At 40.6% G+C, this 27,332-nt stretch overlaps 2 protein-coding genes and 1 pseudogene across 39 annotated transcripts in view, besides 1 other annotated feature; 1 reads left to right on the forward strand and 2 right to left on the reverse strand.

Annotated features, from left to right (window-relative positions):
• Positions 1–2,278, forward strand: part of DENND4C (DENN domain containing 4C) — a 143,769-nt gene extending 141,491 nt beyond the window's left edge. For all 38 annotated transcript variants that reach the window (NR_169842.1, NR_169852.1, NR_169854.1 and 35 more), the window contains one exon: positions 34–2,278. Coding sequence is in view for 23 of the 38 variants with exons in the window: in NM_001386047.1 (NP_001372976.1) it covers positions 34–170 (137 nt within the window). In the remaining 15 variants the exon portion in view is untranslated. The remainder of the gene's footprint in view (positions 1–33) is intronic.
• Positions 2,279–3,711: 1,433 nt separating this feature from the next.
• On the reverse strand, positions 3,712–8,233 carry RPS6 (ribosomal protein S6). The gene is made up of 6 exons (NM_001010.3): positions 8,187–8,233; positions 7,484–7,615; positions 6,705–6,915; positions 6,365–6,511; positions 4,491–4,648; positions 3,712–4,385 (listed from the first exon to the last, which is right to left on the reverse strand). The coding sequence occupies exons 1-6, from the start codon at positions 8,190–8,192 to the stop codon at positions 4,290–4,292; spliced, it is 750 nt and encodes a 249-aa protein (NP_001001.2). The 5' UTR covers positions 8,193–8,233; the 3' UTR covers positions 3,712–4,289.
• Positions 7,548–8,747: an enhancer, noted in NCBI's record as "BRD4-independent group 4 enhancer chr9:19379549-19380748 (GRCh37/hg19 assembly coordinates)". NCBI's record gives its function as "activates an origin of replication core promoter dependent on BRD2, P300/CBP, MED14 and CDK7 cofactors, and independent of BRD4, by STARR-seq in HCT116 cells {active_cell/tissue: HCT116}" and the evidence as "EXISTENCE:reporter gene assay evidence [ECO:0000049][PMID:35650434]".
• On the reverse strand, positions 11,145–11,887 carry NDUFA5P3 (NADH:ubiquinone oxidoreductase subunit A5 pseudogene 3; annotated as a pseudogene).

Raw genomic sequence — 27,332 nt, forward strand, 5'->3', positions numbered from 1 at the left:
AATTACAACTTCATTTTTGAAAATTTCTTTCAGAGGCATTTGACAATGAATATGGAATTGCATACAATAGTCTGTCTTCAGAGATTCTTGAAAGGTTGCAGAAAATTGATGCTCCACCAAGTGCCAGTGTCGAGTGGTGCAGGAAGTGTTTTGGAGCGCCTCTCATTTAAATAGAGATTCACTAGAATGTTGACACACAAGGCTTGGGGATTAGATTTCATCTGGAAACATTCAAGTTTTTTTTTCCAAATCGTAAGAACTGGTGAATACGGAATTGAAGTAACTCTTGGGGACAATATATAATGAATTATGATTCATATTGCATTACCTTGAAATATGAAGTGCCATTTGAATGTCCCAGGGCTTATTAATATTGAAGATTTTCAACCCCTGAACTGCTTTTCTGCCTCTGTGGAAAACTACTTTGGGATTCTTCAGTATTTGTAGTAGTTTGATAGAAATAATGAGGAACCATATTCATTCTAGGCATTGTTTATATTTGAAGTTACTGAGTTTGAGGAATGGCAAATTAAATTTGCCTAACCCCCAAAACAAATGAAATATCTCAATTATAAAAGCAACATGGCCGGGCACGGTGGCTCAGGCCTGTAATCCCAGCACTTTGGGAGGCTGAGCAAGGTGGGTGGATCACTTGAGGCCAGGAGTTCGAGACCAGCCTGGCCAACACGGTGAGACCCTGTCTTTACTAAAAATACAAAAATTAGCCAGGCGCACCACTGTAGTCCCAGCTACTCAGGCTGAGGCAGGAGAATCGCTTGAACTGAGGCAGAGGCTACAGTGAGTGGAGATCACGCCACTGCAACTCCAGCTTGGGTGACAGAGTGAGACCGTCTCAAAAAAAAAAAAAAAAAAAAAAGAGAGCAACATATTTGTGTAAGTTTGTATATGTGTAGGGCTGTGTAGGTATGTGTATATACAGCCATATTCTAAGTGTATATTTATTAAAATAGATTGCATGTTGCAATACGGTTTTCTGAAAGGGGTCTCATTGACTATTAAATAAATGACTACTACTAAACTTGTCTGTAGTCATTAATCTTAAAATTACCTGAAAATCTGATGACAGCTGCCTTCCCTAACTTTAATGTATTAGGTTGGCACAAAATTAATTGTAGTTTTTGCCACTATTAATGGCAAAAACCGCAATTATTTTTGTACCAACATAATACACCTTTCATATTATGTATTATCTTGCTTAATGGGTTTTATCTTGATTATCCAGTTACTTCCATCCTCTTCCCAATGTTAATTTGCAATAGTTTTAAAATGGGAACAAATGAATCAATCATCAGATAGTTAAAATGAAATTAAATCAGCTGCCTAATAATTTATGGAATTCATTGGAATGTGCTTAAAATGCTAAAGTGTATGTCATTGAACATGAAATCTTTTTTCAGGCACATACATTGTTGGTATTGATGACTTTTTAAAACCTGTGGGATAAACTTGCACTGCACACGGAAGTTTTATTCTTGTATATTTAGATTTGTATGCTTGTGAGTAAAAATGTGCATTTGTAAATACTGTGTTTTTAGGTTGAATCAATTAAGTCTTAAAACTGTAAATTTATTAAGCTTGTTGCCAGTAGGTTTAAGAAAATCATGATCTCACATGCCTCACTTTGACATTTATCATGCCTTTTATTAAAAATATCCCTTAGGAACAGTAAGTTTGCCTTAACTCTCTGCATGGTTTAAAAAGCCATTGGTTTTGTGTGTGTTTACAGTAATTATGCAGATGACTAAATGAGTTGACACAGTAAAATTACTTCCATATGGTACAGTAACAACCTAACTCCCTTCTACCTGATGTAACCATTTACAAATTATAGTTATTGTACCAGTCTTTCAACATTTCAGGGTTAATCTGACCTATGCAGAATTCTAGTGTGAATTTATTGTGAAAATGCTAAATGAAACAATTTGTCAGAAATTATGTACAATTTTCATTACCTTCAAAATGGATCTTTTGCACTGTCTGAGAGTATATATTTTTGCAACTCAAGACTTGGTACTAGTTTTAATACTTAACACTTACTGACCCAACAGAAGTTTGGAATTACCTTGCATATAAAAATTGAGGTTGAATAAAATGAAAAATTGTTGTTTTCTGTTACATTAAGCCTCTTGAAATCTGTAATCTTTAGAATCCCAATATTTTGTTTTTTCCATTCCTTCACTCGTAACTTGAACTCAAGTTTTCACTTACTGACGCGCTTCCCATTAAAAAAAATCTGTAAAGATCTCTACCTTGAAAACTTTAGTCTGCTGCTGCCATTTAGATATTGGGACTGATTTCTTGTTATAAATTTTTAAAGGCTTTTTCCAATACCCACCACAGAGAGGGTACCACTAAAAATTTACAAGACAAAAACATTATTATGGAAAGATTTAGAAGTACCTGGAATGACTTGTAGCACTGTATGCAACTTTAATCCTGATAACTTCTAAAAGCAATCTTTCAAATTAGTCCAGATTACTCAGCAGTACCTTATATTGGTTTGGGGTTCGATAGCGATTTTTTTTTCTTCCAACGAACGAATTGTACAGGTTGATCACAACCTGCATAGTTAACGACATGTCAGAATGACTTGCGTGTGTGTGGAGAACTGGGTATGGTGGCTCACGCCTGTAGTAATCTCAACACTTTGGGATGCCAAGGCAGGCGGATCACTTGAGCCCAGGAGTTCAAGAGTAGCCTGGGTAACATAGCAAAACTCTACAAAAAGCACAAAAACTAGCCGCAGTGCACACCTGTAGTTCCCAGGCGGTCAAGGCTGCAGTGAGCCATACCACTGCTCGCCATCCGGGGCGTAGGAGTGAAACCCTGTGTCAAAGAAAAAAAAAAATCTAAGGAAAAACAGACTGTCCTTATTTTGTGGCTGCACTCAATTTTCAGAAAGCAGGGCGGTTCTCATGTTTTGTGCATCATAAACAAGAACTGGTTAATATAAAACTTTGGACCATAACACTGGACTCACCTTGTGGCTTTTAAGTTCCTCTCTCTGCTTGTGCTAAATTTTTTTTTTTTTTTTTTTTTGAGATGGGAGTCTTGCTCTGTCGCCCAGGCTGGAGTACAACAGTGTAATCTTGGCTCACTGAAACCTCAACCTCCCTGGTTCAAGCGATTCTCCTGCCTCAGCCTCCCGAGTAGCTGGGACTACAGGCATGCGCTAATTTTCGTATTTTTAGTAGGAACGGGGTTTCACCATGTTGGCCAGGCTGGTCTTGAACTCCTGACCTCAGGTGATCCACCTGCCTTGGCCTCCCCACCTGGCCATCCCCTTTGCCTTTTAAGTTCTGCATATTATTATTGATTGCCAACTAAGATTCTTTTCATGTTATGTAGCTTTTTAACACCATGTAGTAAGAGGAATAGTTAAGAATCTTAGTAGGCATCGAGGGACTGGCACTACCGGCCTAACACCTGGGAGCTTTTTAGTAATGTAAAAATGTGGGTCCCCACTCCTCTATCAATCACTATCTGCGCCTTAACCAGACCCCTAGGTGATTCACATGTACATTTAACATTTAGAACTCTGCTTTGTAAAGCTATTATTACAGTAATGCCAACAAAGAGCTTGCATTACTTCAACCTTAAAGCCTAATGTGCCACCTTCTAAAGATCCTGATATTGTCACAATAGGCTAGTCAGCATAGAACTGTTAGAAAAAAGTACATACTTTGTGCATTTTTCACTGATCCAAGAATGTTTTTAGTCATTTCCTTTTCAGTGTGTGAACAGCCTAACAATTCACTGGAGTTGAAAAGCTTTGTTAAAACAAATTTGAAATGGCTTAAAAACCATTTAGTGGATGGTATCCACTAAAACTAGGTATCCACTAAAACTATGCCTTAAAAGTTACCTTTTAAAAAAGACATGTTCATCTTCACAAGGTCAATTTTCATGTATTAAATTGTGTATAGTGCTTTAAAGAGCTATATTCCTCAAAAATAAACTATATAAAAAAGATTAATAGTCCTCATCATTTCCCCTAAGTTCCATGCCATTCTGAAGAGGCAGGTGTCTTATGCTCAGAATCCCTTCCTGTGCCACCCATCCCCTGAAAGGAACCCCTGTACACTGACCTTGTCTTCCACTACCACACACAATAGGTCTGACTTTATCCACCATTGGAATACCATATATACATATCCCCATTTTCTATGACCTAACTTTCCCTCTCTTCATTTATGTAGTTTTCTATCAGCAATGAAAAGTCAACAGAGATCAGAGTCTGATCTTATTTATTTGTTACTCAAAAAATCTTATTTCTGACTGGATTCAGACTTAGAAGTAGAAGCTCGCAGAGAGGAAAGTCTGCGTCTCTTCGCAATTTGTTCCTGGCGCTTCTCCTTAGCCTCCTAAACAAAACAAAACAGCAAACAGTTAAGGCCTTTCTGGGTTAAAGACGCAAATCCAAAGCCAGGTCGAACTCCTCCCACCCCCTCAAATCATCTTAGACTAACCTTCATTCTCTTGGCCAAAAGTTTAGCATATTCTGCAGCCTCTTCTTTATTTTTCTTGGTACGCTGCTTCTTCAGAGCAATACGCCGCCGTTTGTGCTGCAGGACACGTGGAGTAACAAGACGCTGAATCTTGGGTGCTTTGGTCCTAGGTTTCTTACCTAAAAATTCAAAGGACTCAATCATTTCAATATTTGTTTTGTTAGAATCCACATCTACTTTAAAAACATCAGAAATAAACGTAAGCTTAACAGCATCTATGAAAACCTATAATGAGGCCTTTAAAATCAAATCAGAACTATTCTAAAATGCTTTTTGCCCCTCCACAGAAATCTAGAAGATTGGTTAAATATTATAAAAATATAAGGGAAACCAAGTCCTGAAAAATAACCAGGCTAACTTTTACTACCTTCCAGTTTTACTAAAATACAGTGGCATTATGTTAATATATAACTGTGCATAGTTAATTTGTCTGTGAAAACCACTTAACACATTATCTACATAATCATCCTGCCATACTTTTAAATTTGATGTAAGCTTGCATCTCTATTTCCTTTGACAATTCCTGCCAATTCAGGGGTAACGTTAACTATTAACATCAGATTAGGTGGCATGTTGTTAAAGTATCTTCATTAATCTGATCTGTACTCCAAAACTGCTCATGGATTACAGATCTGCATTGGAGCATAGGCCTTTTCAGATGTATTTGTTTCATGGACACTTTGTAGGAGTTAACTGCCTTAGGCTAAATGCTCAGATGTTCAGATTCTGCTAAAATGTTAAGCCTCCTACTATAGACATAAGAACCATCTAAAAATACCCATCAACCAGACCACGCTTGTATTATACGGATTATTTCCAGGGCTATGATTATGGGCAACTGCCACCTATTTGTCAATTGCTTTTTTTTTTTTTTTTGCAACATCAGCTTCATAAGGGTAGGAATTTGTCTATACTGTATTCTCAGCACCTTGAACAGTACCTGTGCTCAAGTAAGTGTAATTACTGACTTAACAGACGTATACTATCTATGCCATGTATGTTAAGTCACACCAGTCCTGAAAACCAAAATCCAGAGAAATTCTTTCAAATTTTGTCAGGAAAACCCAACCTTGACTGACATGCTGTTTATTTAACATAAATATCCCCAAATTTCACCACAGAAATATTGCTATTTGAGGTCCTCACTGGTGAGTATGTTGTCTACTATATGGACAAAAGTTCTTAAAAGGTAAAGCTCCAAAATCCCTAACACCTGCTCCCTAGTATTCTGAGTAAGGTCTCTAACTTCTAATTCTCACAACTCTTAACTATTGTTATCCATATCCTACAGATGAAACAGAAGTTTAAAGCAACTTCTTTTGTAAGCCAAAAAATAATTTTGGGCTGGGTGTGGTGGCTCACGCCCATAATCCCAGCACTTTGGGAAGCCAAAGTGGGAGCATCACTTGAGCTCAAGGGTTCAAGACCAGCCTGGGCAACAGTGTGACCTCATCTCTTAAAAAATATTAATAATTTAGAACATCTGATATAAAATTACAAAGTGTGTGGTGCTAATAGTCCCAGAATTCTCAAACATGTGACTCCTAAACCAGATAGCAATGACCTTAAAGTCAGGTTATTTTTGGATAATGTATACATCAAAGATTCACAAGCAGATTTTCAACGAAATTACTGCACTCTACAAGGCACTGGATATAATAAGCAAGGATTAACACCAACTGGGTATGCTGGCCACCCCCAAATATTTTCTGTAAAAACTCCAAGTGAATAGTGCTAAGGCCTTCCAAAGGCACATATTTATCTTCTGATATGCACACAAAATGATAGACAAATTACCAAAATTAAGCAAGCCCTAATTGCATAATCCCTCCTACCTTCTTTATTTAAGGGCTTTCTTACAACATACTGGCGGACATCATCTTCTTTAGAGAGATTGAAAAGTTTGCGGATTCTGCTAGCTCTTTTGGGGCCCAGGCGGCGAGGCACTGTAGTATCAGTCAGTCCAGGAATATCCTTCTCTCCTTAGAAGAAACAGTTGAAGAGATTTTAATTCAACAACTTCCTTAAGAATCCTAAATCAGAATGTTTAATGTTGAATTGATGGTAGAGAAACAAATCCATTGGTCTGTAAGTCTGGATACTGCAAATGAATAAGCATTTGGACAACTGGCTTTAAATCAATTTCAACGAAAATTGAACACAAGTAACCCTCACCTTTTTTTACAATAACCAAGTTGAGAACGCTCAGATTTGCATCCACAATGCAACCACGAACTGATTTTCTCTTTCTTTCTCCAGTTCTCCTTGGTCTGTAACAGGAATGCCCCTTACTCAGTAGCAGGCGGACACGGCCATGGGTCAAGACACCCTGCTTCATGGGGAAACCTTGTTTGTCGTTCCCACCACTGATTCGGACCACATAACCCTGCAAGAGCATACAATGAATGACACATTTACTATTTCTATTCCAAAATTATACAGTACAGGATTGTGACCTCTGTGAACACACCTATATGAGAAAGTATAATTATGAAAACCAATTTGAACTTAAGCACGTTTTCTCTGTTCAGTGAGTTTTGTCTATATTCCCAACTTGTCAAGTTCAATTATCAAATGTCTTTCAAGTCGCATTTCTAACCGATGTTTTATTAGAGATAACAGCACTAAGAAGATAAAATATCAAACAGCAACAAACAAATCAGATACAACCCTTTTTGGCACTTTGGGGATTATGAGGACAGCTATGTGACATATTGCCAAATGCATGATGCAGGGCAAGAATTATGTTGATGTAAACTTTACGTATATTTTATGGCTTACTCTACGTCCCCCCCTCCAAGGTAATACCTCTAACTTTATAAAGTGGCATTCGGAAGCAACTTACCAAAGGTCAGAAGCCAGAACCCGGAGTCTGAACCCCATTCCAAATACCAGTTACCAATGGCGTTTACCGTCTCTGACTTAAATACCTGCAACAATTTGTCAACTTTTACCTTCCATTCTTCACCCAGAGCGTCAGCAGCAACTTCTGTGGCCATACGCTTCTCATAGAAAGTACGAAGTTTGCGTTCATCGTCCACTTCAATGAGTTTCTGGCAGCCAGTGGCTGGGAAGGAGATGTTCAGCTAAGGATTAAAAGGGGGGAAATAGTTTACGAAACTATCTATACAGGTAATTGTAGAGCCATCTACAAAGTTAATTCCACTGCAAAAAGCCTTTCATGTTGCCTCCACACAAGCAGGAAATATAAGATGCCGACTGTACTCACTAAAAGCACGTGAAAGCAGAGTAGCAGTCAAGAAGCGCCGCACTCAGCAGGACGTTTTCCCCTCAAGCCCCGCGGAATGACTCTGGGGGCGAGGGCACTCCGCAGCCGTTCACCCTCCCGAAGCAAGAAAGCCGGGGTCAAGAGCCGCACCACAGGCCTGCCGCAAACTGGGCAACACGCCGCATCCGTCCCGGCTGGGCGCGGGGACGCCACCATGGCGCTCCCGGCCCGCCGCGGCTCCAGCCGCAATCGCCTGCCATCCGTTCGGCCAAAAAGCTCCATGCCCCAGAAAGGCGAGCCTTCTCCTACTTGAGACCCTTCTCCACCTAAAGCCAGGATCCTGGAGTGCTGGAACTGAGGCAATGCCGCGTTCTGGGACTCGATTCACGTTCCCCAAACCCAGTCTAACACTCGCCACCATCACCTACCTTCATCTTGAAGCAGCTGAACGCCTCCGAGGCGCCACGGAAAAGAGGGCCAACTTCCGCTTAGCGCAGGTCACATAGGCGCTTTCAGTTCTCGCGAGATGAGCAGAAGTACGGGATAGCGGAAGTGAGCATGGGTGGGCGGTACTTCCGGGCGAGATTAATCAGGGCCTGGGAGGTAAAGTCGGTTGGGTGTGGGTCTGAGGTTGTGCCAGTGGTGGTAGTCTGGTAAGGCAAACCCGCGTGTAATTCTGAGGGCTAACCCCTTCCCTGTCTAGTCTTTTCCACGCTGCCTGGGTTTTGGAGCTGGGCGCCAGCGGAGCCCCACTTCTGTCCCAGGCACTTTGCATCTGACGGTACCAAAATAGGAGGGCAAGGCCGGGCGCGGTGGCTCACGCCTGTAATCCCAGCACTTTGGGAGGCCGAGGCGGGCGGATCATCTTAGGTCAGGAGTTCGAGACCAGCCTGGCCAACATGGCGAAACTCCGTCTCTAATAAAAATAGGTAAAATAGCCAAAAATAGGTAAAATAGCCAGGCGTGGTGGGGGGCGACTGTAGTCCCAGTTACTAGGGAGGCTGAGGCACGACAATCGCTTGAGCCCAAGAGGCGGAGGTTGCAATGAGTCCAGATCGCACCACTGCACTGCAGCCCAGGCGACAGAGAGAGACTCCGCCTCAAAAAAGTTCGAGTTCGAGACCAAGTAAACAAGAATAATTTTTACTATCTAAAACTATCACATACCATCTCCCCACTTTAGTGTCACAAAGGTTTGAGTTTAGGACTGTTTTACATTCGAAGTTGAACGATTCTACTGAATCCTCTTTGATCATCTCACATTAATTCATGGAATCTTGGTGAAATGATGCTTTTTAAAATCTGAGTACTGTGTGTCATTTTTTTGTTGAGGTGAAATTGACATAACTAGTCATTTTAAAGTGAACAATTCAGTGGCATTTAGTACATTCACAATGCTGTACAACCACCATCTCTATCGATACAGTTCCAAAACATTTTCATCATCCTAAAAGAAAACCCTGTACCCTGTTAAAGCAGTTGCTGCCCCTTCCCCATTTCGACCAGGCCTGGCAACCACCAATCTGTGTTCTGTCTCAGTGGATGTACCTACTTCATAAAAATGGAATCATACAATATTGACCTTTTGTATCTGTCTTCTAATCTTTTGAGTCGTAGCATGTATCAGTACTTCACTGCTTTTATGGCTCAATATTCTAGTGTAGATATAGACTGCAGTTTGTTTATCCATTCCTCCATAAATAGACATTTGGGTTGTTTCTGCCTTTTAACTACTGTAAATAGTTCTTCTATGTTTGAGTACTTGTTTTAAATTATTTTAGGTATATACCTAAGAGTGAAATTGCTGGGTCATATAGTAGTTCTATTCTCAACTCAGGGAGAAACTGAAACTGTATTCCAAAGCAGCTGAACCATTTTACATTCCCACCGGCAATGTATGAGGACCGCACTTTATCAAAATCATGGCCAACACTTGTTATTTTTTTAATTTTTTAAAAATTTATTGTAGGGACAGGGTCTCGCTTTGTTGCTCAAAGTGAGATCCTGTTGGTCTGGAACTCTTGGCCTCCAGCATCCTCCTGTCTCAGCCTCTGGAGTAGCTGAGACTCATTGTGGTTTTGATTTGCATTTCCCTAATGACTAATGATGTTGAGCATGTTTTAATGTGTTTGTTGGCCATTTGTATATCTTCTTTAGAGAAAAGTCTGTACAAGCTCTTAGCTCCCCCTGTTATTTTTATTGAAGTAGTGGGAGTAAATTAATGTGAGGCAAAGAGAAAGTCTAGAACTATGGGCTAGTTTTTTTTGTTTGTTTTTCCTTTTAAAAATATTTTAGGGTGGCCAAATGCAGTGGCTCACACCAGTAATCCAGACGCTTTAGGACGCTGAGATGGGAGGATCTCTTGAGGCCAGGAGTTTGAGATCAGCCTGGGCAAACATAGTGTCACCCTGTCTCATTTAAAAAAAAATTTTAATGCGTTTTTAATTGTGGGTAAAAAACATATAACACAAAATGTATCATCTTAACCATTTTGAAGTGTACACTTCTGTAATGTTAAATATATTAACATTGTTGTAAAATAGATCTCCAGAACTTTTTCATCTTGCGAAATGGGAACTTCATACTCATTAAACAACTCCTTTCCCCCTACCCACGGCTTTTGGTAACCATTCTACTTTCTGTCTCTATGATTTTCACTAAGCATCTCATATAAATGGAATCAAACAGTAGTAGTTGTCTTTTTGTGACTGGCTTATGTCATTTAACATAATGTTCTCAAGGTTCATCCATGTTATAGCATGTGACAGGATTTCCTTCTCTTTTAAGGCTGAATAATACTCTGTTGCATGTATATACTACATTTTGTTTAACCATTCGTCTGTCAATGGACATTTTGGTTGTTTCCACCTCTTGGCTGTTGTAAATAATGCTGATATGAACATGGGTGTGCAAATATCTCTTAGAGACAGACCCTGTTTTCAATTCTTTTGGCTATCTATCCAGAAGTGGGACTGCTGGATCACGTTAGTTCTATTTTGAATTTTTTGAGGAACCTCTATACTGTTTTACATATGGCTGTACCAATTTACAGTCCCACCAACAGTACACAAGGGTTCTTTGCCTTTTTTTTTTTTTTTTTTTTTTGAGATGGAGTCTTGCTCTGTCGCCCAGGCTGGAGTGCAATGGCACGATCTCGGCTCGCTGCAACCTCTGCCTCCCGGGTTCAAGCGATTCTCCCGCCACAGCCTCCTGAGTAGCTGGGATTACAGGTGCGTGCCACCATGCCTGGCTAATTTTTGTATTTTTAGTAGAGATGGGGTTTCACCATGTTGGCCAGGATGGTCTCAAACTCCTGACCTCAAATGATCCTTCTGCCTTGCCTCCCAAAGTGCTGGGATTACAGGTGTGAGCCACTGCACCTGGCCCACACTCTTAATATAACAGAATATTTAATTACATCAGTTTCCCATCAACCTACCAAAGTCATTTAATAATTATATTGGCCATTTCCACTGATTGGCAGGAGTCTCTCCCATGGTTTCCACTGCATCATTTTTCTTGCCAGACTTAGTTCATTTTTAGCCTGCAGAATCGCCTCTTCTATTTGACCACCTTGAAGTTGGTCTTCTGATTTTTTATTTTTATTTAATTAATTAATTAATTAATTTTTGAGACAGAGTCTCACTCTGTTGCCCAGGCTGAAGTGCAGTAGCATGATCTCGGCTCACTGCAACCTCCACCTCCTGGGTTCAAGCGATTCTCCTGCCTCAGCCTCCCAAGTAGCCAGGACTACAGGCATGCACCACCATGCCCGGCTAATTTTTGTATTTTTAGTAGAGACAGGGTTTCGGCATGTTGGCCAGGCTGGTCTCAAACTCCTGACCTCAGGTGATCCGCCTGCCTTGGCCTCCCAATGTGCTGGGATTACAGGAGTGAGCCACTGCGCCCGGCTGGTCTTCTAATTTTTTAACATCTGGTTCTGCTTTAACCATAGCCAGTGTCTCATTTGTAATCTGTTCTGTATACTTTCTATATGCTACATTTTTAGGGATTTGCTCAAGAACATAAAAAAATCTTTGTATACAATATTCTTAGCCTCTCCTGTGGACTCTCGCATACAGCCAATCCCACAAGGCCAGTGGTCTCTCTTCAGCACACCCGTCATGACTCTGGCTAATTGAGAAAAAAAAAAAAAGATTTGTGTGTGTGTGTGTGTGTGTGTGTGTGTGTGTGTGTGTGCGTGCGCGTGTGTGTGTAGAGATAAGGGCTCCATATGTTGCCCAGGCTGGTCTTGAATTCCTGGCCTTGAGTGATCCTCCTGCCTCAGCCTCCCAAAGCATTTGTCCATTTTAAAATCGGGTTTTTTAATATATATTCAGGAGACTAAACTCTTATTAGATACGTGATGTGCAAATATTTTCTCCCATTCTGTAGACTTTTCGCTTTCTTAATAATGTTACAGTTTTTAATTTTAAAGCCCAATTTATATAATTTAAAAATTGTTGTAGATCATGCTTTTGGTTTCATTTAAAAATACGTTGCCAAATCCAGTGTCATAAAGTTTACCCCTATGTTTTAAAATCTAATCTTAAAGACTTACCCTATGTTATGGTCTTAGTTTTTATATTTAGGTTATTGATCCGTTTTGAGTTTATTCTTAAATAATTGTGTGAGGTTGGGACTCCAGCTTAATTATTTTGCAGATAGATGTCCAGTTGTTCCAGCACTATTTGTTGAAGAGACTATTCATCCCTCATCGAATGGTCTTGACACTCTTGTTGAAAATTAATTGCCATAAATTTATAGGTTTATTTCTGGACTGTCACTTCTATTTCCATGGTCCATGTGCCTATCCTTATGCCAGTGCTATAGCTTTGTAGCAAGCATCAAAATAAGGAAGTAAGAGTACTCCAACTTTGTTTTTTTTCAAGATGGGTTTAGTTCTTAAGGATCCTTTTCAATTGCACATGAATTTTAGCATCAGCTTGTTCATTTATGCAAAACATGCCATTGGAATTTTGATGGGGATTGCATTTAATCTGTAGCTCAATTTATGGAGTACTACCATCTTTATAATATTAAGTCTTCCAACTTATCAACACAAGATGTCTTCTCATTTAGTTATGTGCTGCATAACAAATTTTGGTCAATTACAGACCACACATACAGCATTGGTCCCATATGATAGGGAACTGGAAAATTCCCATCACCTAGTGACACCTTGATGATCCTGACCCCATCTAGGCCTAGATTAATGTTTGTGTGTCTTAGTTTTTGACAAAAATGTTTTTTTTTTGTTTTTTTGTTTTTTTTTTTTGAGACGGAGTTTCACTCTGTCACCCAGGCTGGAGTGCAGTGGCACGATCTTGGCTCACTGCAACCTCCACCTTCCGGGTTCAAATGATTCTCCTTCCTCAGCCTCCTGAGTAGCTGGGACTACAGGCGCCTGCCACTGCGCCCGGCTAATTTTTTGTATTTTTAGTAGAGACGGGTTTTGGCCATGTTCGTCAGGTTGGTTTCAAACTCCTGACCTCAGGTGATCCGCTCACCTCGGCCTCCCAAAGTGCCGGGATTACAGGCGTGAGCCACCGCGCCGGGCCGGGTATATAGATTTGAAAGCTCAGTGTTGGCACAGTGAAAAAGGTGGGCTCTGAGTAAGGGCCTGTGTTAGTTTGCAAGGGTTGCCATAACAACTGGCAACCGACAGAACCATAACAACTGGCAACCACAGATTGGGTGGGTTAACCAACAGAAATTTATTTATTTATTTATTTTTGAGATGGCGTCTCACTCTGTCACCCAGGCTGGAATGCATTGGCGCAATCTCGGCTCACTGCAACCTCCGCCTCTTGGGTTCAAGCAATTCTCCTGGTTCAGCTTCCCAAGTAGCTGGGACTACAGGCATGTACCACCATGCCCATCTAATTTTTGTATTTTTTAGTAGAGACGGAGTTTCACCTTCACCATGTTGGCCAGGCTGCTCTTGAACTCCTGACCTCAAGTGATCTGCCCCCCTCAGCCTCCCAAAGTGCTGGGATTACAGACGTGAGCCCCCTCGCCCGGCCAGAAATTAATTTTCTTAAAATTCTGGAGGCCAGAAGTCTGAGGTCAAGATGTCAGCAGGATTGCTTTCTTCTGAGGTTCTCTCCTTGGTTTATAGGCTGCCATCTGCTCTCTGTGTCTTTCCTCTGTGTCTGTCCTAATCTCTTCTTATAAGGACACCAGTCATTGGATTAGTGCCCAACCTGATGACCTCCTTTTAACTTAATTACTTCTTTTAAAACCCTATCTCCAAATACAGTCACATTCTGAGGTACTGAGGGTTAGGACTTCATCATATGCATTTTTAGGGGGACACAGTTCAGCCCATAACAGGGCCTGAAGGCGGAGTCTTTCAGCCACGAAGATACTGACTAAACAGAATTACATCTCTGTATTCAATAGTATTAAATTAGTGATCCCAGGCCGGGCACCATGGCTCATGCCTGTAATCCCTTTGGGATGCTGAGGTGAGATGATTGCTTGAGGCCAGGGGTTCAAGACCAGCCTAGGCAACAAAGCAAGACCTCATCTCTGCAAAAAATTTTTTAAACAAATTAGCCGGGCGTGGTGGTGCTCACTTATCATCTCAGCTGCTTGGGTCCCAGCTTCTTGAAAGGCTGAGGTGGGAGGATCGTGTGAGCCCAGGAGGTTGAGACTGCAGTGAGCCATGATCACACCACTACACTCCAGCCTGGGCCACACAATGAGACCCTGTCTCACAAAATAAAAATAGAGTAATCCTAAGAGCAATCAGTATAGGTAAATTTACCCCTAACTCATTATATGAGTTTTTCAAGTGTTTTGGGGAACAGGAATGTTTTCCAAAGGGAGGTAGAAATACAGAAACTAAGAGTAGTATGGGAGGAAGTAAGTTCGTGCATTTTAGTAAGCTGTCTCCTTTCTGGCCCAAATCAAGGAAACAGGAAGAATAAAAAAGGTCATTTTAGACACAAAAAACTAAATTTCAACAACAATTCCTACTTGTAAGGAAGAAACTAATTTTGAAACATGCCAAGCTGTGTTTGGGAAAGGAAGTTAAATCAAAGACCTGAATCTAGGAAAATTCCTTGGCATTATGTCTGCAACTATATCCAGTAGCAAGAATTACAATAGATTACTCACCCCTTGGGTCAGGGACGAAGGAATGTTTTTGCAAAGTTGCAGAAAATAAAATCTGGCATATATTTATTAAAGACTTGGTAGATAGGAAGAAGAGGGGAGGTCAGAAAAAGTGCAAGAGTAAACCTATTTTTTTTTTGTCAGATCAAGTCTCTGTATCAAGGCACTATATATATTCTTTTGGTCTCATGTATTTGTATTTCTTCATAGTTATATGATGTTGGGCAACTTATTCCTGTCTTAGTTTCCCCATCTGTAAGATGAAGATAATACCTTATTCATAGACTTCTTGTCAGGAATTAACTAATACATTATAAAAGTTAAACAGTTCTTGGTACATAGTAGACTCTCAATAAATGTTAACTATCCTCATCATCACAACCACCACCATCCTCATCATCGTCATTATGCCAGCACCTCTGACTTTGATCATGTGGTTTTCGCTGTGAGCAGTGCCTTCCTTTCTGTGCTCCATCTGCCTGGTTTTAGTCGTACTGCTTCTGGCAGTTTTTCCTGAGAATTCCAACACAAGTTGCAGAACCTTGCTGCAAGATGGAAGCCTGAACTTGGTGCTGAGGTGTTCTGGATTCATTCAAATGGTGGACAGCCATGGGGAGAGCCCTCAACAACATTGTTGAACAAATATATGCTGAGCACTGCTTTATGTCAGCACCAGGCTAGCAGCAGGAGATAGAGATGAGGAGTGATGGCCCTTGCTTCCAAGGAATTATTTATCTAATGGAAAAAGAAACATATAAATAGATAAAGAGATATAACAGAGGTATTTAAAAGGCACTGTAGTACAGCAAAAGGCAGAAATAATCTAAATGTCTGAATCATCCTCCATCAGCCTAAAAATATGCTGGACTATTTTCTTTCTTTCTTTCTTTCTTTTTTTTTTTTGATGGAGTCTCAGTATGTCGCCCAGGCTGGACTGCAGTGGCATGATCTTAGCTCACTGCAACCTCCGCCTCCCAAGTAGCTGGGATTATAGGCACCCGCCACCACACCCTGCTGATTTTTGTATTTTTAGTAGAGACGGAGTTTCACCATGCTGGCCAGGCTGGTCTCAAACTCCTGACCTCAAGTGACCTGCCTGCCTCAGCCTCGCAAAGTATTGGAATTACAGGCATGAGCCACCATGCCCAGCCTGCATTTGTAATTTTGATAAATACTGCTACATTGCTCTCCATAGGATTGTTCCAATGTACACCCCTACTAACAATGTATGAGAGTGCCTGATACCCTAAAGTCTTACTAAGTGCTGCCAAACTTTGGAATTTTGTCAGTCGGAGGAAATACATGTTATTTCAATGTAGTTTTAGTTTATAGTTTTGTTACTGTGAATTAAGCATCTTGTCATGTATTTTTCTGTTCCTGTTTTTCACTCATTTTTTTTCTGTTGGATTGTTAGCACTCTGTATGTAAGACAAATTAGCCCTGCATAAAAATTCCACATTTTCCCCAATATGTCCCTTCCTTCCTTCATAATTGTATTAAAATATAATTCACGGCCGGGCGTGGTGGCTCACACCTGTAATCCCAGCACTTTGGGAGGCCGAGGTGGGCGGATCACTTGAGGTCAGGAGTTTGAAACCAGCCTGGCCAATATGGTGAAACCAGGGAGTCGGATGTTACAGTGAGCCGAGATCATGCCACTGCACTCCAGCCTGGTGGCAGAGTGAGACTCCATCTCAAAAACAAAACAAAAAACCTAAGTGAAAAAAGACAATCAATAGATGCCAATATGAGCCATCACGTTCCCCAACTTCAAACTATACTACAGGGCTACAGTAACCAAAAGAACCTGGTACTATTGGCACAAAAACAGACACATAGACCAATGGAACAGAGGAGAGAGCACAAAAATAAGGCTGCACACATACAACCATCTGATCTTTGACAAACCTGACAAAAACAATCAGTGGGGAAAGGACACCGTGTTCAATAAATGGTGCTGAGATAACTGGCTAGCCATATGCCGATGACTGAAACTGGACCCCTTCCTTACACTATATATAAAAATCAACTCAAGATGGATTAAAGGCTTAAATGTAAAACCCAAAACTATAAAAATCCTGGAAGACAACCTAGGCCATACCATTCTGGACATAGGAATGGGCAAAGATTTCACGACAAAGATGCCAAAAGGAATCACAACAAAAGCAAATATTGACAAATGGGATTTAATTAAACTAAAGAGCTTTTGCACAGTATAAGAAACTATCAACAGAGTAAACAACCTACAGAATGGGAGAAAATTCTTGCAAGCAATGCATCTGACAAAGGTCTAATATCCAGCATCTATAAAGAACTTAATTTTACAAGAAAACCACATTAAAAAGTGGGCAAAGGACATTAACACTTTTCAAAAGAAGACATACACGCGGCCAACAAGCATATGAGAAAAAAGCTTAATATCACTGATGATTAGAGAAATCCAAATCCAAATCACAGCGAGATACCATCTCACACCAGTCAGAATGGCTATTATTAAAAAGTGAAAAAACAATAAAAGTTGCTGGCAAGATTGCACAGGAAAAGGAATGCTTATACACTGTTGGTGGGGGTGTAAATTAGTTCAACCACTGTAGAAAACAGTGTGGCGATTCCTCAAAGACTTAAAAACAGAACTACCATTCAACCCAGCAATCCCATTATTGGGTATGTACCCAAAGGAATATAAATCATCTGTCATAAAGACACATGCACACGTATGTTCACTGCAGCACTGTTCACAATAGCAAAGACATTGAATCAACCTAAAGGCCCATCAATGGTAGACTGGATAAAGAAAATGTAGTACATATACACCATGGAATACTATGCAGCCATAAAAAAGAATGAGACCATGTCCTTTGCAGGAATATGAATGGAGCTGGAATATGAATATCCTTATCAAACAAACACAGAAACAGAAAACCAAATACCGCATGTTCCCACTTATAAGAGGGAGCCGAACGATGAGAACACATGGACACATAAGAGGGGAACAACACACACTGGGACCAGTTGGGAGGTGGAGGTTGGGAGGAAGGAGAGGATCAGGAAAAGTAACTAATGGGTATGAGTCTTAATACCTGGGTGATGAAATAATCTGTACAACAAACTCCCATGACACAAGTTTACCTATGTAACAAATATGCGTATGTATTCTTGAACCTAAAATAAAAGTTAAAAAAAAGAAAACAAAAATCAACAAACACTTGAAAACTAAACCACATACTTCTACATGATCTATGCATCAAAAAGGAAGTTTCAAAGGACATTTAAAAATCAGTTGAACTGAATGAAAATAAAAATAAAATCAAAATTTGTGGGACGCAGCTAAAGCAGCACTGAAAGGGAAACTTATAACACTAAATGCATATATTAGAGGAGGCAAAAACCTCAAATCAATAAGCTAACCTCCCACCTCAAGAACCTAGAAAAAGAAGAGTAAAATAAACCAAAACCAAGAAGATGGAAGGAGATAATAAGGTTAAAAGCAGAATAGAATGAAATGGAAAATATCATAGAAAAAAATCAATAAAATAAAGAGCTGATTCTCTGAAAAGATCAATAAACTTCACAAACAACTAGCAAGACTGAAAAAAAAGATGCAAATTGTCAATATCAACAATGAAACAAAATAACCATTACAGGTCCTGCAGACATCAAAGGGATTGTAAAGGAACACTACAAACTCTACACACATAAATGATGTGTGTAGATGGGTATATAGCCATGGAAATGGATGAATTCCTTGAAAACTGCAAATGACCACAACCTCACCCAATATAAAATAGGTAATTTGAATAGCCTTATAACTATTAAGGAAATGTAATTCATAAGTTAAAAGCTGTCCGAAATCTTCAGGCCCAGATGGTTTTCCTGGATAGTTATACCAAATATTTGAAGAGGAATTAAGAGCAATTCCGTACACTCTCTTTCAGAAAATAGAAGAGGAAGGAACACTCAATGAACACATAAAACTAATTTTATGAAGCTAGTATTATTATCTTGATGTCAAAGCCAGATAAAACCAGTACAAAAAAGAAAACTATAGGCTAATACGCTTCATAAATATAGACACAGAAATCTTTAACAAAACATTAGAATATATAATTCAGCAATGTATATAAAGAATTATATACCATGACCACGTGGGTTTTATTCCAGGGATGCAAGTCTTTCTTAATATTAAAATCTCAATCAATGTAATCTGCCACATGAACATAGTAAAGAAGAAAAATCATATCATATCACTAAATGTACAAAAAGCATTTCACAAAATTCAATATCCACTCATGATAAAAACTTTCAGGAAATAGGGAAAGAAAAAAAATCCTCAACCTGATGAGGAGTATCTACAAAAAAACCCACAGTTGATATTATACGTAATGATAAAAGACTGAATGCTTTCCACCTAAGCTCAGGAACAAGGTGAAGATGTCTTTTGTCACCACTCATGGTTATCTACTAAGGAAATTCCAAGGAATCTACAAATTCTTATAAGTAATAAGTGAGTTCAGGAAGATCACAAAATACAAGCTAAAATACAAAAATCAATCATATTTGTAAGCACTAGCTATGAACATGTGAGCACTAATTAAAAATGCAATACAATCAGTCAAGGAAATGAAATCTAATAAAACATGTACATTATTTAAATGATGAAAAGTACACAATGTTAATGAAAGACATCAAAAGATCTAAATTAATGAAGAGACAAACTGTACTCATGGAGTGGAAGTTTCAACACAGTAAAGATATAAATTCTTTTCAAACTGATATATATGTTTAATGCAATTCCCATCAAAATCTCAGGAAAATTCTTTATAGATGTAGACAAGATTATTCTAAAATGTATATGGAAAGGCAAAGGAACTAAAATAGCTAAAAACAATGTTCAAAAAGAAAGTGGAAGGAAACAGTCAACCTGATTTTAAGACTTATTATAGCTGCAGTATAATAAGTCTATAATAATAATATATAATAATTATTATATATATAATAATAATATATATTATAATATTATATATATAATAATATATAATATTATTATATATAATAATATATATAATAATATTATATATATAATAATATATAATATATAATAATAAGACTATATGTTACTGGTAGTGGGACAAATACATAGATACATGAATAAAACAGAGAACCCAGAAGTAGATCCTCACAAATATGTCCACCTGATTTTTTGACATACTTGAAAAAACAGTTCAATGGAGGACAGATAATCTTTCAACAAATGATGCTGAAGCAATGGGACAGCCATAGGGAAAAAAATGAACCTTGACCTAAGTCTCACACATTATACAAAGATTAAACCAAAATGGATTACACACTTAACTGTAAAATGTAAAACTATAAAACTTTTTATTTTATTTTTTTTTATTTTTTTTATTTTATTTTTTTTTTTTTTTTGAGACGGAGTCTCGCTCTGTCGCCCAGGCTGGAGTGCAGTGGCGGGATCTCGGCTCACTGCAAGCTCCGCCTCCCGGGTTCACGCCATTCTCCTGCCTCAGCCTCCCAAGTAGCTGGGACTACAGGCGCCCGCCACTACGCCCGGCTAATTTTTTTTTGTATTTTTAGTAGAGACGGGGTTTCACCGTTTTAGCCGGGATGGTCTCGATCTCCTGACCTCGTGATCCGCCCGCCTCGGCCTCCCAAAGTGCTGGGATTACAGGCGTGAGCCACCGCGCCCGGCCTATTTTTATTTTTTTGATATAGGGTTTCACTCTGTCACCCAGGCTGGGGTGCAGTGGCACGATCTCAGCTCACTGCAACCTCCGCCTTCTGGGTTCAAGCGATTCTCCTGCCTCAACCTCCCAAGTAGCTTGGACTACAGGTGCGTGCCACCACACCTGGCTAATTTTTTGTATTTTTAGTAGAGACGAGGTTTCACCATGTTAGGATGGTCTTGATCTCCTGACCTCGTGATTTGACTGCCTTGGCCTTCCAGAGTGCTGGGATTACAGGCGTGAGTGACCACGCCCAGCCTTAAAACTTTTTTTTTTAAATAGGAGAAGATCTTCTAGATCTAGGGGTAAGCAAAGAATTCTTATTTATTTATTTATTTGAGACAGAGTTTCACTCTTGTTTCCTAGGCTGGAATGCAATGGTGCGATCTTGGCTCACTGCAACCTCCGCCTCCTGGGTTCAAGCGATTCTCCTGCCTCAGCCTCCCAAGTAGCTGGGAATACAAGCACTCACCACCACGCCTGGCTAATTTTTGTATTTTTAGTAGAGACCAGGTTTCACTATATTGGCCAAAACTTAAGTCATAAAAAAAGGAGAAACTGGTAAGTCAGACTTCATCAAAATTAACAAATTTCTTTCTTTCTTTTTTTTTTTTGCTTTTGGATACAGGGTCTCACTCTGTCATCCAGGCTGAATACAGTGGCAGGATCATGGCTCACTGCAGCCCTGACCTCCCAGGTTCAAGTGATCCTCCCACTTTAGCCTCCTGAGTAGCCTGGGACTACTGATGCGCACCACCACACCCAGCTGATTTTTTTTTTTTGTTTTGGTAGATAATGGAGTCTCACTACGTTGCCCAGGCTGGTCACAAACTCCTGGATGCAAACAATCCTCCTGCCTCAACCTCCCAGGGTGCTGGAATTACAAGTGTGAACTACCATGCCCAGCCAACTTTTACTCTTAAAATATCCTGTTAAGAGAATGCAAAGACAAACTACAGAGTGGAAGAAATTATTTGCAAAGCACATATCTGACAAGGGCTAGTATCTAGAATATACAAAAAAAAACCTCATAAAACTCAACAGTAACCTTACTTGGTAAGAAGCATATCAAACTTTTCTTCAGAAAGTATGCAAACAAGAAAAGAATATTCTAAAATATTTAAAGTGTTGAAAGAAAAACCTACCAGCCTAAAATTCTGTATCTAGCAAAATTATCATTCAAAAGTGAAGGAGAAATAGGCCGGGCAAGGTGGCTCACGCCTGTAATCCCAACACTTTGGGAGGCCGAGGCAGGTGGATCACCTGAGGTCAGGAGTTTGAGACCAGCCTGGTCAATATGGTGAAACCCTGTCTGTACTAAAAATATAAAAATTAGCCAGGCGTGATGGTGTGCCGGTACTCCCAGCTACTCGGGAGGTTGAGACAGAAGAATCCCTTGAAGTGGGGAGACGGAGGTTGCAGTGAGCCGAGATCTCACCACTGCACTCCAGCCTGGGTGGCAGAGTGAGACCCTGTCTCAAAAAAAAAAAAAAAAAAAAAAAAAAAGCCAGCTCAGTAGCTCACACCTGTAATACCATGTAATCCCAGCACTTTGGGAGGCCGAGGCAGGCGGATCACGAGGTCAGGAGATGGAGACCATCCTGGCTAACATGGTGAAACCCCGTCTCTACTTAAAAAAAGAATACAAAAAATTACCCGGGCGTCGTGGCGGGCGCCTGTAGTCCCAGGTACTCAGGAGGCTGAGGCAGGAGAATGGCATGAACCTGGGAGGCGGAGCTTGCAAGTGAGCCGAGATCGCGCCACTGCACTCCAGCCTGGGCGACAGAGTGAGACTCCGTCTCAAAAAAAAAAAAAAAAAAAAAAAAAAAAAAGTGAAGGAGAAATGAAAACTTTCTATGCATTAAAAAATGGAGTATACTTGCCTTGCAAGAGATGTTAAAAGAAGTTCTTCAGAGAGAAGGAAAATTATATAGGTCAGAAACTCATATCTAAATAAAGAAAGAGTGCTACAGAAGGAATAAATGAAGCCAAAATAAAACAAACAATCCAATTAGAACATGAGCAAAAGATATGCAGAGAATTTCACTGAAGGAGTTATGCAGAAGGCTACTAAGCACGTGCAAAGATATTCAACATCATTACCTATTGGGGAAACGTATATTAAAACCACAATGAGATATTATTACACAACTATCAGAATGGCTGAGATAAAAAACAGTGACAACACCAAATGTGGGGATGTGGATAAACTAGGAAATCATACGTTGCTGGTGGGAATGTAAAATGGGATATTCACTCTGGAAAACAGTTTGTCAGTATCCTAAAACAATAAACATGGAATTACCATGAAACCCAGCAATTTCACACCTGGACATTTACCTTAGGGAAATGATGAGTTGTATTTACACCAAAACCTATAATGAATGTTGATATGAGCTACTATTTGTAATAGCAAAATGTGAGAAAAAGAAAAAAAACCCAGATGTCGTTTAATGGGTGATGATGGTTAAACAAATTGGTATATCCACACCATGGAATTCTGCTCAGCGATAAACAGCAAGAGCTATTGATATATGCAGTGAATAAATATCCACAGAATTATGCTTAGTGAAAAAAAAAGCCAATTTGCAAGGTTACATTCCATTTGATTCCCTTAATATAGAATTTTCAAAATGACAACATTATAGACACCCAGATCATGCAAATGGACTGATTCCCTTAGGAGAACGAAGACCGTATCTACCTAGAGACTGGAAGAAGACCCTTCTGGGCCTGACAAGAGCAGATAACAATTCTGGCAACAATTGACCCTGGGGTTTCAGCAGGTCCACAGGTGGAAGTTGAGAGTGGGATTTAATCTGGTTGAGTTCATCTTCTGGTAGGAAACCACACAGAACCCAGGAGCACCACCAAGATGGCAGGGGGAGCTGTGTGGCTCAGAGACACTAGGGCCCCATCCTCTTCCTGTTCCTCATTGACTGGCTGGAAAGGTGGACACTAAAAATTCATGACTCGTTTGTACTTAGTTGAAGTATGGAAGGAGATAACATATTATTTAGACTCTCTCCCTCCTTCTCCTTCCTTCCTTCCTTCCTTCCTTCCTTCCTTCCTTCCTTCCTTCCTTCCTTCCTCTCTCTCTCTCTTTCTTCTTTCTTTCTTTCTGATAGTCTTGCTCTTCTCATCCAGGCTGGAGTGCAATGGCGCAATCTCAGCTCACTGCAACCCCCTGCCTTCCGGGTTCAAGCGATTCTCCTGCTTCAGCCTCCTTAGTAGCCGGGATTACAGGTGCACACCACCATGCCCGGCTAATTTTTGTATTTTTAGTAGAGACAGGGTTTCATCATGTTGACAAAGCTGGTCTCGAACTCTTGACCTCAGGTAATCTGCCCGCCTCGGCCTCCCAAAGTGCTGGGAATACAGGTGTGAGCCACCGCACCCGACTACACATATTATTTTCTAAAAATGTCACTAATCCTGTGAAAGACTCATTTGAAATGCTTGCCCTAAAACACATTAATAACTTTTTTGATGTGATGAGAGATCTAAGTACTTGTGTTGTGTTCATTTTGAGAACCATCAAATATTTCTAAGATGAAATTTCTTTGAATTTTCACACTTCAGAGGAGGGTCAAGTGTCTCCTAACTACTGTATCATTTGTTCCCCAAGCTGCATTTTTTTTTTTTTTGAGATGGAGTCTTGCTCTGTCGCCCAGGCTGGAGTGCAGTGGCACAATCTCGGCTTACTGCAAGCTCCGCCTCCTGGGTTCACACCATTCTCCTGCCTCAGCCTCCCAAGTAGCTGGGACGACAGGCGCCCGCCACTGCGCCCGGCTAATTTTTTGTATTTTTAGTAGAGGCGGAGTTTTACCATGTTAGCCAGGATGGTCTCGAACTCCTGTCGTGATCTGCCCGCCTCGGCCTCCCAAAGTGCTGGGATTACAGGTGTGAGCCACTGCGCCCGATGAGAAAGATTAAAGATCTTTTTCATGGCTTCTTGGTGGCTGGCCTGCAACTTTCCTGGCAATGACTGCCCCTATTGAACATACGACATTTCAGATCCTTACCTTTATGTGTTATGATTAGAGAATGAAGGGTGAGCTCACTGGTCCTTATCTTTTCCACTGCCTTTAAGGCCCTGACATACTTAACCCCCTCCTTTTCAGTAGACAATATTTTCTCCCACTTCTTTCAGAAATATGAACTGCTTTATCTTCTCTCATCCTCAAAACGTGTCAAGGTATTCATATCTATCACTCTCTACATTCCCCTCTTTCTTAGCACAGGGTTCTGTTAGGACATTTGATTTTAAGTCACATAAACCCAACTCCAACTAGCTTAAACAAAAATGTGACTTTACTATAAAGTTTCCAGGGTATCTTGGGAAACTTTGTATGTGGTTGGATCCTGGGCATATAGCTGGAGCTAGGGACTCCTTACCACCTCTTTCTATACAGCCTTCTTTGGGACAGCATCATTATTCTCTCTACTGTTAACTAGTTCTGCTTGCCCAGCCATCTGGTGGCATAGGCCACCAATAGTGCCCAGGTTTATATCTCCATTTCGTCAGTCAACCATGTGGAACTGGAAGAGCTCGATTCTGATTTGAAATTCCCACAAATGCATTCTGATTAGCCAGCTTAGATCACGACTCACTCCTGGACCAATGAACGTTAGCCACAGAGTCAGGTCACAGTGTATACCATGGTTGTTCTTATGGTAGCCATCTGAACGGAGTTGGGGGTTGGGGGAAGGTGGGAGGTGGGCTGTCCTCATTGAATAAGAAGAAGCAGAAGGTCTTGGAAAAGGAAGAGATGCCAGGAGAGACAGAACAATACTTGGCTACTCCATGCCATCCCTTCTCTTCAGGCAAAATGAAAGATCTTGAACTTTCAATTCTATCTCTTCTCATCTTCTTCAGGATTTAGTTTAATTAATTACCCTTTTATATTTTTTGTTTTTTTTTAACACTAGATTATACTGCAATAAGTTACGCTTTTTTCTTTTTACATTTTGAATATTTCTACTCAAGCTCCTTTTCTTTAGGCTTACATTTGCTCAAGAATCTCTTATACCAAAGGAGCATCCCATAACCTGTCTTCAAGCTCCGGCCCAATCTATGTACCTTTTTTTTTCTGCCATGTAAATGTCATCTGCCCCATATCACACTTTGCCCCAACCTGGCCTTCTCCCTCTTCATTTCCTTCTTCAATGCCACCTCCATTTTCCCAGAGTGTTTTTTGGTTTCTGAAAGGCTGAACACAGGCAGAGTGAGGGAAGGATGAAGTCTACAGGCCATTGTGATGCAGCCCTTCCAGCAGGTGTGACAGGTAGTCTCTGATGTGCCACTGCCCACTCCCTCAGAGCCCGGCCCCAAGAGGCCCCTTAGATTGTAGAGCATAACACTGACCAGTCTCTGACCTTTCTAGCTTCCTGGTTCCAAAGAGTCTGTGGCCACAGTATCACCTGCACCACACCCACACAGCTGATAATCAGCTTATTTACCAAAGTTTCCCTGGGAACAAGGACCTTCTCATGAAGAGAGAGGGTGGGTGCCCTCTTGGAGAGGTTGTTTGCTATTTGCTCCCTCACAGGGGTAACCTCCCATTGCCAGTCCTGTGCCCTCTGGAATGAAGAGGAAAGGTAACAACCACAGGCTGGGCCAGAACTGCTTTATTTTTTTGAGACAGAGTCTTGCTCTCTCACCCAGGCTGGAGTGCAGTGGTGCGATCTCAGCTCGCTGCAACCTCTGCCTCCCAGGTTCAAGCAATTCTCCTGCTTCAGCCTCCCCAGTAGCTGGAACTACAGGCACGTGCCACCAAGCCTGGCTAATTTTTGTATTTTTAGTAGAGAGGGGCTTTCATCATGTTGGCCAGGCTGGTCTTGAACTCCTGACGTCAAGTGATCCACCCACCTCAGCCTCCCAAAGTATTTAGATTACAGGTGTAAGCCACCATGCCCGGCCAGAACTGCTTTCTTAAGGGTACCCATAGGTAAAGGCCAAGCCCTCGCCCTCACTCGCCAACTTGTGTTCTCGCAGCTCTCGGCTATGTTGGTGCTTGTGGGGACAATCACGTGAAGCCCTTTGCTTCTTTGGTTTAAAAAAAAAAAAATCTCTTGTTTTTTTGAGATGCAGTTTTGCTCTTGTTGCCCAGGCTAGAGTACAATGGTGTGATCTCGGCTCACCACAACCTCTGCCTCCCGGGTTCAAGCGATTCTCCTGCCTCAGCCTCCTGAGTAGCTGAGATTACAGACTTGTGCCACCACACCCAGCTAATTTTTGTATTTTTAATAGACGGGGTTTCTCCCTGTTGGTCAGGCTGGTCTCAAACTCCCAACCTCAGGTGATCTGCCCGCCTCGGCCTCCCAAAGTGCTGGGATTACAGGTGTGAGCTACCATGCCCGGCCAAAATAAAACTCTTTTATTATGAAAATTTTAAAACAGGTACAGAGTAGAGAGACTAGTTTAATGTGTTTACCACCCACTTTTCACAATTATCCATTTGAGGCCAATGTTGCTCTGTCTATACCCCCATAGTGACACTCTCCTCCTTTATTTCAAAGCAAATCCTAGATCATATACTTTATGGGTAAATATTTCAGTATGTATCTCTAAACAACAACTTTCCTTTTTTGTTTCTCTCCTTTTTTGTTTCTTTTTGGCTTTGCTCAAGTTTATTATTGAGGTATGATTTACATGCTGTAAGTTGCCCTTTTTAGGTTAATTTTGAGGTTTTATAAACTCATTCA

This window comes from Homo sapiens, chromosome 9, assembly GCF_000001405.40.
Source record: "Homo sapiens chromosome 9, GRCh38.p14 Primary Assembly".
NCBI lineage: Eukaryota > Metazoa > Chordata > Mammalia > Primates > Hominidae > Homo > Homo sapiens.